At 40.1% G+C, this 11795-nt stretch overlaps 1 protein-coding gene across 1 annotated transcript; it reads left to right on the forward strand.

The window, feature by feature from the left end:
* Positions 1-3418: 3418 nt before the first annotated feature.
* Positions 3419-4729, forward strand: VN1R2 (vomeronasal 1 receptor 2). The gene has a single exon (NM_173856.2). It carries the CDS (start codon positions 3503-3505, stop codon positions 4688-4690), a length of 1188 nt encoding a protein of 395 aa, NP_776255.2. The 5' UTR covers positions 3419-3502; the 3' UTR covers positions 4691-4729.
* The last annotated feature ends 7066 nt before the right edge of the window (positions 4730-11795 follow it).

The raw sequence follows: 11795 nt of genomic DNA on the forward strand, positions 1-11795 counted from the left end.
GGCAGGAACCTGCGCGTACGCGAGTGCACTGGGGCGGCGCAAGGGGCAAGGGCAGGGGCAGGGCGCGGACAACTGTGGGGATGGGCGGGCAAATGGCGGGGATGGGCGGGGACAATGGCGGGATGGGCGGGGACAATGGCGGGATGGGCGGGGCCTAGGGGTCGGACTGCCGGACCTCTCCTCGGCGCGTCCCAGCGACTTTTTTAGGCCTGTTTGTCGCCCAGCAGTACTCGATTCTTCACTTTTGGATTCCCTTGAATCTCTATGGTGTCCTTTGGAGCCTAGCTAAGTAAAAAATTAGAGACCTGTGGGCCCCTTATATTGGAATCGGAGCTTAAGATGGGAAAGGTTTGCTTGAAAACGTTTCTGCGAGCGATGGAGGCGCGTCCTGCGACGAGGCGGGAGGAGCGCTGGGACCTGGTGGATGGGAGAGGGCGACGGTATAAGGAAGCTCTTGGATCCAGGAACTTCTGAAATCCGGACGATTAAAATTTGTATTTAATTAAGCGAAAGCTGGAGTTGTCTGCGTAGGTGATGGAAACTGGAATGAGATGCATTTTTGTGCCTGTGCGGAGTGTACAATTTTATATTGACTTTCACTGGAACGTAATTTTTATTTCCGCTCCCCAGTCACCCAGGAGGCAGAGATGCACCATGGGCTGAGTTCCAGAGAATTTATGGGGTCAGACCCTGGGCGGTGGGGGGTGGAAGGCTGAGGCTTGGCTTTAAAAGAACGCAAAGTTCTGCTTGTATCGATCTAAATTTATTTTCCTTTATTATCCTAATGCACATTTCTTGAGATAAATTACAAATCCAAGTGCTGGATTTATTGGAGTTGGTATGTTGTGTTTTGTCTAAGTTATTAATTACTAATATACTATCGTTATTATTATTTTTATTATTATTTTGAGATGGAGTCTCTGTTTCCCAGGCTGGATTGTAATGGCGCGATCTCGGCTCACGGCAACCTACGCCTCCTGGGTCAAGCGATTTTCCTGCCTCAGCCTCCCGAGTACCTGGGACTACAGGCGTGTGCCACCATGCCTGGCTAATTTTTGCATTTTTAGTAGAGACGGGGTTTCACCACGTTAGCCAGGTTGGTCTGGGACCCCTGAGCTCATGTGATCCGCCCACCTGGGCCTCATGAAGTGCTGGGGTTATAGGCGTGAGCCACCGCTCCTGGCCTTTAGTCTGTAAAGTCTTTATTCTCAGTTATTTGGAAGAGTATTTTTAACATAATATGTGCTTGGCAATTCTCCTGGCCAACTGAATTGATTTCTCTTGGGCCCAGAGAGGAAACTTATTGACTGGAGGCTCCCCAAGAGAAGATGAGCCCATATGGGGGTATCTGAGTAAACCAAGGTCTATCCACTGTCTCTTTGGGTCTCTGTTTTCGTAACTGGGAATTACATCTGATAACAGGTGAAGGGTGAAAAAAAAATGAGAGTGCATTTTAGCATAAAAATACATATATGTTATTTACATATAAACATACACATATAAAAATTCTATTTATTTTACATATAAAAATACATATATGTATTTAAATTTTTTTTTTTTGAGACGGAGTCTCACCCGTACAGACGGGGTTTCACCGTATTAGCTACGATGTCTCGATCTTTTGACCTTGTGACCCACCCATCTTGGCCTCCCAAAGTGCTGGGATTACAGGTGTGAGCCACAGCGCCCAGCCTCTTTCTCTTTTCAATGTATTAAATGCACAAGATTCCATACTTTCAAATTCCATTTTGCAGAATTATTATATTTTCATAGGTTTCCCAAATCAAATATTAATTCAAGTTTCAGTTAGTTGTTTTAAAATAATAAATATATAGTTACATAATCTTTAAAATGATTCGTTTTCTAGCCTAAAATGCTTTATCACCTTTTATGTTTCATGTCTCATATTTTAGTGCACACTCTACCTAATGTTGTACATTAATTTCCGTGATGGGTGCCGTAGTATTTTTAGTCTTTGCAGACAGTGAAATGAGTGTTTCTGCTGGTATCTTAACATCTACTCACATTAAATACATTGGGTCATATGAAATTATTTAGTGCCTATTATAACTTATCAAGACCTATGAATATTCACTCATAAGTTATATTGATATGTAGAATAAATACTTTGACAAAAATAGGAAATTATCAAACCAAATTTATAAAGTGAACATGACAAATATTTATACATATGTAGGTGTGCGTGTATGTATGTGTGTGTGTATATGTATATATATGTGTGTATAGATATATAAAGGACACAACTAGGCAACTATTATAGCGTAGTAGTGAACACCAATGTTACTGCAACCAGGCTACTCACGTTCAAATCTTCACTCTTCTGGTATTTAAATGAGTCACCTAATCTCCTTGTGCTTAAACTCTTTTAGAGTTGGTGAAAGGAGAATAATATGAATTCCTACCTCATGGAGTTGTGAATATTAAATGTCAGAATAGGTACAGCATTTATAAAAGTCACTCATACATTGTAGGTGCTGTAAAAAGAAATACACGAAATGGGAAATTTGTTAACAATATATCTCTCTATATATTTCACTTTTAATATTCAGGGGGAAGAAATCGTCATAAGTGAAAGGTTATTTTCCATGAAAATGTGGCCCACAACTCGTGTTGCCATGCAGAACCTTCTGCTTACTCAATATTGAGTGCTGGAAAATGACAGAATGGCCTCTGTGGACCTGAAAATTGGAATGATCTTCCTATTTGTGGGCAGCAAGCCACCCAGCTGCCGAGGCAAGAGACCGAGGGCACGAGCTGTTCCAGCATAATAAAATATATAAAACAACAAGAGTTATATTAGATCTAGATCATAGACATGATTATATATGAATATCATTAATCATTAGTTGGTAGCAATTACTCTTATTCCAATATTATAATAATCCTCGCTCTATAATCATAACCTAGGAAAAGCCAGGCCATACAGAGATAGGAGCTGAGGAGACATAGTGAAAAGTGACCAGAAGACAAGAGCGCGAGCCTTCTGTTACGCCCAGACAGGGCCACCAGAGGGCTCCTTGGTCTAGGGGTAACGCCAGCGTGTGGGAAGACGCCCGTTGCCAAGTGGACCGTGGTCTAGCGGTAGCGTTAGTGTCAGGGAAAAACACCCGCTATTTAGCAGACCGGGAAAGGGAGTCTCCCTTTCCCTGGGGGAGTTTAGAGAAGACTCTACTCCTCCACCTCTTGTGGAGGGCCTGACTCAGTACCACCTGCAGTTATCCAGAGGCCTGTCTCCCTGTGATGCTGTGCTTCAGTGGTCACGCTCCTGGTCTGCCTTCATGTTCCATCTTGTACACCTGGCTCTGCCTTCTAGATAGCAGTAGTAAAATTAGTGAAAGTACTAAAAGTCTCTGATATGCAAAAATAATGGCATAAGCTGTCTCTCTCTCTCCCTCTCTCTCTCTCTGCCTTGGCTGCCAGGCAGGGAAGGGCCCCCTGTCCAGTGGACACGTGACCCACGTGACCTTACCTATCATTGGAGATGACTCACACTCTTTACCCTACCCCTTTTGCTTTGTATCCAATAAATATCAGCGCAGCCTGGCATTTGGGGCCACTACCAGTCTCCTGCTTTGTATCCAATAAATATCAGTGCAGCCTGGCATTCGGGGCCACTACCGGTCTCCGCGTCTTGGTGGTAGTGGTCCCCCAGACACAGCTGTCTTTTCTTTCATCTCTTTGTCTTGTGTCTTTATTTCTACACTCTCTTGTCTCTGCACACGGAGAGAAACCCACCAAACCTGTGGGGCTGGACCCTACACTATTCCAGGTAGTTGTTGGAATCCTGGGGAATTTTTCACTCTTATATTATTATATGTTCCTTTACTTTAGGGGATACAAGCCAAGATCCACAGATTTGATTCTCAGGCACCTGACTGTAGCTGACTCCTTGGTTATCCTATCTAAAAGAATCCCAGAGACCATGGCAACTTTTGGGTTGAAACATTTTGACAATTATTTTGGATGCAAATTTCTTTTGTATGCACACAGGGTAGGCAGGGGTGTGTCCATTGGAAGCACCTGCCTCTTGAGTGTCTTCCAGGTGATCACCATCAACCCTAGGAACTCCAGGTGGGCAGAGATGAAAGTAAAAGCCCCGACATACATTGGTCTCTCCAATATCCTGTGCTGGGCCTTCCACATGCTGGTAAATGCCATTTTTCCTATTTATACAACTGGCAAATGGAGCAACAACAACATCACAAAGAAAGGAGATTTGGGATATTGTTCTGCCCCACTTAGTGATGAAGTCACAAAGTCAGTATATGCAGCATTGACATCCTTCCATGATGTTTTGTGTCTGGGGCTCATGCTCTGGGCCAGCAGCTCCATCGTTTTGGTCTTGTACAGGCACAAACAGCAGGTACAACACATCTGTAGGAACAATCTCTACCCCAACTCTTCTCCTGGGAACAGAGCCATCCAAAGCATCCTTGCATTGGTGAGCACCTTTGCATTATGTTACGCCCTTTCCTTCATCACCTACGTTTATTTAGCTCTCTTCGATAATTCCAGTTGGTGGCTAGTGAACACTGCTGCACTAATCATTGCCTGTTTTCCAACTATTAGCCCTTTTGTTCTCATGTGCCGTGACCCCAGCAGATCCAGGCTCTGCAGTATCTGCTGCAGAAGAAATAGACGATTCTTTCATGATTTCAGGAAAATGTGAATTGGCTGTCTTGGTTTATGTTCGGCCACTGATGCACTCAGACCTCAAGGGATCTTAAGAATGATTATCAGCCAATTTCACTGCAGAGAGAGGGGTGAATAAGACAGAGACTTATCCAATGTGAAATACTAAATAATAATAGCCATAGTAAATGAAATCTTATGTAATTAACATGTGAGTACTTATATAGTTGTATTTTTTATTAATGATTGCAGTGAAGAACTTCAGATTCCATAAAATAGTCCTGAAATAATGTATAGATACTGAAAGCATCTTTAAATGTGTGATGTCCAATCTGAGATATTAAATTTTCCTAAGACGTACTAGAGCTTGGAATTGTATAAATGGGCATAGCAGTTGCCTAAATGGGCATAGCATGTGGGTGGTTGTTATGGTTTGGATATTTGACCTCTTGAAATCTCATTTTGAAATTGTGCCTTACATCCCATAAAAAAACTGTGGACATTTGAAATATGATAATGTTTATTGAGAAAGATTAGTATATTAAAATATTTCCAGGTAAACATTTGAAGAATGATCCATAAGAGACAAAAAGGAATATAGGGAGCTGTGTCAGCTCACTTTTACAAAGGGTGCAGATGGGGCCAGGCATGGTGGCTCACACCTGTAATCCCAGCACTTTGGGAGGCTCAGGTGGGCGGATCACCTGAAGTCAGGAGTTCAAGACCAGCCTGGCCAACATGGCAAAACCCTGTCTGTACTAAAATACAAAATTTAGCCTGGCATGATGGCGGGCACCTGTAAACCCAGCTATTCGCAAGGCTAAGGCAGGAGAATCACTTGAACCCAGGAGGTGGAGGTTGCAGTGAGCCAAGATCGTACCACTGCACCCCAGCCTGGGTGACAGAGTGAGACTGTCTCAAAAACAAACAAAGGGTGCACATAGGAGACAACAAGTAAATAGAGATTTGGCAGGTGGGAAAGAAATTGAATGGATTTTTGAGATATTCAAAAGGTAGATTGTTCTGGGTAAGCCTTGATAGAGCTGGCTATAGTGGCAAGAAGTAGGTTTCAGGATGGACTTTTTCATTTCCAACTTGAGACAAGTTTTTGGAATAAACTTCCTCAGCCTTGGAGCAGCAGATGAATACAATTTGGAGCCAAAATACATGAATTTGTTTTGTTTAATGCAGAACTTTTTTTTTTTTTTTTTTTTTTTTTGAGACAGAGTCTCCCTGTTACCCAGGCTGGAGTGTAGTGGCACGATCTCAGCTCGCTGAGGCAGGCAACCTTTGCTTCCTGGGTTCAAGTGATTCTCTTGCCTCAGCCTCCCGAATAGCTGGGATTATAGGTGCGCACCACCATGCCTGGCTAATTTTTGTATTTTTAGTAGAGACAGGGTTTCACCATGTTGGCCAGGCTGCTCTCAAACCCCTGACCTCAAGTGATCCGCCCGCCAAGGCCTCCCAAAGTGCTGGGATTACAGGTGTGAGCCACTGTGTCTGGCCTAATGCAGAGTTTTATATTGATTTTGAAGTCACCAAGAAAGCAAAATGAACACCTTCAAAAGAAATAAAAAGGATAAGGCCGGGCGCGGTGGCTCACACCTGTAATCCCAGCACTTTGGGAGGCCAAGCGGGTGGAGCACAAGGTCAGGAGATTGAGACCATCCTGGCTAACACGGTGAAACCCACTCTCTACTAAAAATACAAAAAATTAGCCAGGCATGGTGGCAGGCGCCTGTAGTCCCAGCTAGTGGGGAGGCTGAGACAGGAGAATGGCGTGAACCCGGGAGGCGGAGCTTGCAGTGAGTGGAGATCGCGCCACTGCACTCCAGCCTGGGCAACACAGCGAGACTCCCTCTCAAAAAATAATAAAAAGGATATTAATTCAAACATAGGAAATATTTTAATATGATCCTCTGTAAATTATAAACGGTTATAATTTTTTAAATTAAACATTTTATTGTAGAATAATTGTAGATCTGAAGAAAATTTGCAAGTATAACACAGAGAGTTCTGAAATATCCGTCACCCAGTGTCCCTCATGTAAACATGTTGCCATGAAACATTTGTCAAGACTAGGAAATGAACGTTGGTTCATTCCTCTTAACTGACTTTATTTATATTTCACCGGTTTTAACACAGTCTTTCTTCTCTTTCAGGGTCCAGTCCAGGACATCACATTACGTTTAGTCATCTTGCCTCCCCAGCCCGTTTTGCTCTGTGTTTTTGTTTTTCATGATCTTGACAACTTTGAAGAGCATTGTTTTACTTTTAGAATGTCGCTAAAATTGAATTTGTCTGTTGTTTATCTCATGGATAGACTAGTTTTATGGGTTTTGGGGAAGAAAACCACACTTGTCACATCATATACTGTCAGAAGTCTAAGGAAATTTGGATGAGTTATCTCTGGTGATGTTAATCTTGATCAGTTAGTTAAGATAGTGTTTGTCAAGTTTCTTCACTATATGGTTACTGTGTTTTCCTTTCCACACTCTAATCTTTGGAAGGGAGTTTCTAAGCCCATCACACACACTTAAAGTGAGTATGTGTGTTTGTGTGAAAGGGGCATTGAATTAACCTTCACCTGCTGGGAGGTATCCACATAGATTATTTGCCATCCTTCTGTAAGGAAGATATGTCTTTTCTCCTTCATTTATTTGTTTGTTCAATTATTTATTCATATCAACATGAACTCATTGATATTTATATTTTGTTATATAATTCAATGCTAAGGAATTAATTTTGTTACTTAAGTTTTTGCAGCTTTGGTCACTGGAAGTTGTGGAATAATAAAAAATATATATCTGGTCTTCATCCTGGTTCCTGTTACAGAGCTTCAAAATCTTTTTTTTTTTTTTTGAGGTGAAGTTTTGCTCTGTTGCCCAGGCTGGAGTGCCGTGGCGTGATCTCGGCTCACTGCAACCTCCACCTTCCGGGTTCAAGCAATTCCCCTGCCTCAGCCTCCCAAGTAGCTGGGATTACAGGTGCACAGCACCACGCCTGGCTAATTTTTGTATTTTTAGTAGAGACGGGGTTTTGCCATGTTGGCCAGCCTGGTCTTAAACTCTGGACCTCCGGCGATCCACCTGCCATGGCCTCCCGAAGTGCTGGGATTACAGGTGTGAGCCACCGCGACTGGCCTAGAGCTTCATAATCTTTTTGAATTTCCTGAATGATGAATGCCTTTGTCATATTCACGAGATGACTCGTGGCACGGGTCCCTACATAGCTTTACAATGAGGACTGGTCACCAGAAAGACCAATTATGTAATTAGAAGAACTTTCAGCCACCAGACCACTGGAAAGGGAAGAGGCTAGAGATTGAGTTCAAGCTCATGGCCGTTGAATTAATCAACCATGCCTAGGTAATTAAACTCTGATAAAAAATTCAGACATGAAAGCTTGGGGGAGCTTTCTGGCATGGGACAAACCACATAATAGAAAATAAAATTGCAAAGTAAACTAATAAAGTCTTCAAAAAAGAGGTTATCACTCAAAGTCTTCTCTTCTAGCTATCTTGAAATATACATGACATTGTGATTTGCTATAGTCATCTCACTGTGTAGTAGAAACTATTCTTCTTGGCTAATTAACTTTGTACCAATTGATGAACATCTCCCAGCAGCAGTCCCCCACCCCTTCCCTCCTGGGCCTCTGGTAACCACTATTCTACCCTCTACTTCTATGAAATCAACTTTTTTAGATTTCACATGAGTGAGATCATGCAGTATTTGTCTTTCTATGTCTGGCTTATTTCAGTAACATAATGTCCTCCAAGTTCATGCATGTTGCCACAAATGACAGGATTTTATTTTGTTTTATGGCTGAATAGTATTTCATTGTGTATATATACCACATTTCTTTATTTGTTCATCTTTGTATGAGCATTTAGGTTGATTTCATATCTGGACTATTGTGAATAGTGCTGCAATAAACATGGGACTGTAGATATCTCTTTGACATACTGATTTCATTTCCTTTGCACGTATATCCAGTAAGAAGATTGCTGGATTACATGGTAGTTCTATTTTTAATTTTTTGAAGAATCTCCAAACTGCTTTCCATAATGGCTTCACTAATTTGCATTCCTAACACTACAAAGAAATGATAAATGTTTAAAGCAATTAACATGGTAATTACCAGCATATGATTATTATACAATGTATACATGTATTGAAACATCACATAATACCCCATAAATATGTACTATTATTATGTGTCAATTACAAATTAAAAATTAGTGAAAAAAGGGGTTACCAAATGTCTAATAAACAAAGAAAATATGCTCAATTGCCTTAGTATTCAGGGAAATAAACATAAAACCGCTAACTAGTACTCAAATACACTAACCAGAAGGCTAAAATGAAAATGACAGAATATACCAAGGGTTGACCATGACGTGAATAAACTAATGATCTCACACTGCTGAGGGTTGTGAAAATTGGTGTAAACCTGTTGGAAAACTATTTGTCAGTGTCTGAAACAGCTTAACAGACACAAAATTATGTTAAGTAGAACTTAACAATTCTACTACTGTATATATACATATCTCTCTCAAATAAACTCATACGTGTGTCACCAAACCACAAGAGAGATATATATATATATATATCTCAAATAAATTCATACATGTGTCACCAAAACACAAGTTCTAGAATGTATATACCAGCATTATTCATAATAGCCCCAAACTGAAAACTACTCACATGTACATCGAGAATGGAATGATTAAGTTAATAGATATTTACACAATGGAATTCTATGCAGCAATGCTAGTGAATGATCCACAACCACCTGCAAAAATACAGACATATTCACAAACAACATATACAATACAAGATGCCAGATACAGAATAGGTTATTTTGTATGATTCCACTTACAGGAAGTGCAAAACACATCAAAGTGATCGATGCTATGAGATGTCTGAATAGTGCTGAATCCTTGGGAGTCATGACAGGAAGGAGTGCATGGGGACACCTTGGGTTCCAGGAATAGCCTGTTTTTTCATCTAGAAGATGCATAGGAGATGCGTTCAGGTTTTAAAATTTCATAGAGCTGTGCACATTTACACAGCTGGGAGATGGTACATAGGTTACAATTTAGAGAACTGGGAGATGGTAAATAGGTTAGGGTTTTAATGTGCCAATATTGCCAAGGTGAAAGTTAAAGGTCTTACATAACTTTATGATTATTTTATAGAAGTAATTTCAAAATGTAAAACGAAGATAGTGAGTACAAAACCTTCTAAACAAAAGTGCAAAATGTAGAATTGCTTTAAAAATGTTTTAAAAACACAGAAGTTAAAATAGAAAGAATAAGAAAATAGGGAAAGTGTAAAGAACACAGAATAAATTGGTAAACATAATCCTGAATATATCCATTATTACATTAAACTGAAACAGACAAATAATTTTTGTTATAGTAACATTGTTTGACTATAATTAATTGAATATTTTAGACAGATACATAAAACATTACGAAAAATATACAATAACGAAAAATACATTCTATGTAATTTTAACCAATTAAACAACTAGCATGGCTATGTAAATAACACATGAAATAGACTTCATAGTTGGTTTAACTTGTCACTATTATAATTAATATTTTTCTACATTTCTTAATGTAAACATTTCTAATATTCCTTGGTAGATAGCAAACATAATGCCACTTACTATAAACATACACACAGGTATGTTCCATCTTGCTTTGTGATCTAATGTGCAGTACATAATCCTAAGTGCCTCATACAAGTTAAAAATGTTTCCTTATTTTCGTTCATGAAGTTCAATACGTTAAGTCAAACGAATTCTTTTGTTCGATGAACTATTGAATCTTTAATACTTTGCATCAGCTTCATAATGAAAATAAAGACTCAGTATGTTAGATTGTTTCTTATAATTGGGGCATAAGCATTTTGCTCCTTTGGAAGTCTACCTGTCATAATCTCCACACGAACACAGTGGATTCATACTTTCTCCCTCAATATAGCCATTTCTCTGCTATTTCAAGTAAATTTGAAGGAAATGAATGTCTGTGCTCACTTGCTCACCTTAGAGGTAGGAAAACGCAACCCCCAAATCTCTTTCTTTCCAACATGGCCAACTGGCATCTTCACATGATAAAGAAAAAGAGTCTACCATCTACTCGTCTAGATCCTCAAATCTATGCAGTCTCACAGAGTGTGTGTGGTTTTCTGTTGTTGTTATTGTTGTTGTTTGTTTGTTTGCTTTGAGGCCGGGTCTCACTCCCTTAGCCCAGGCTGGAGTGCAGTGGCGCGATCTCGGCTCACTGCAAGCTCTACTTCCTGGGCTTCAAGTGATTCTTCCATCTCAGCCTCCCAAGTACCTGGGTCTACAGGCATGTGCTACCATGCCTAGGTAATTTTTTTCATATTTTTAGTAGAGATGAGGTTCCGACACGTTGCCCAGGATGGTCTCGAACTGCTGGGCTCAAGCCATCCTCCCGCCTTGGCCTCCCAGAATGCTGGGACTACAGGCATGAGCCAGCACGCCCAGTCAGCATCTGCTTTTTAATAGTCAGCATTCACAGGATGTTTTTAATTTTGGCATAAATATATTTTTTTGTCTCATTCTTGATCAGTGTAACCATTTCTACATGAAAATGATTTAAATATACTGATTTCCCTCCATATAGTTATATTTTAAATTACTATTATCTGTCTGAGGATGTAACGTACAGATTTTATAACTTGGGACCCAAATCTGGAATTAACCAAAACCTCGCCTCCAAGCAACCTCATTACTTCAGGAGAACATTTTTTTCTTCACTTTCCTGAATGGTCATATCACACACTGCTACTTGTCATGTAACTTTTTCAACAATCTCACGCTTACTTAATTTCTGCATAGATTTATTATATCAGATCGAAGGTTGCACACTCAAAGAGATCCCCATCATTGCCAGATTGATTCAGGACCTAATTTTTTTAATTGCGTAGACCTTTAATGACTCTACTGCAGGCCTTAATAAAACTTTGATAATATGAATATTTACATAATAATTGCATCATATTTCATTTACAATTGTTCTTACTAGTTATTGTTTATCATTGGGGTGGAAGTTCACCCTGTCTTGTTCATCACCTTCTCATAATTGGGAGAGGTTCATAATTAAG

The sequence above is a fragment of the Homo sapiens genome, chromosome 19, assembly GCF_000001405.40.
Source record: "Homo sapiens chromosome 19, GRCh38.p14 Primary Assembly".
Classification (NCBI taxonomy): domain Eukaryota; kingdom Metazoa; phylum Chordata; class Mammalia; order Primates; family Hominidae; genus Homo; species Homo sapiens.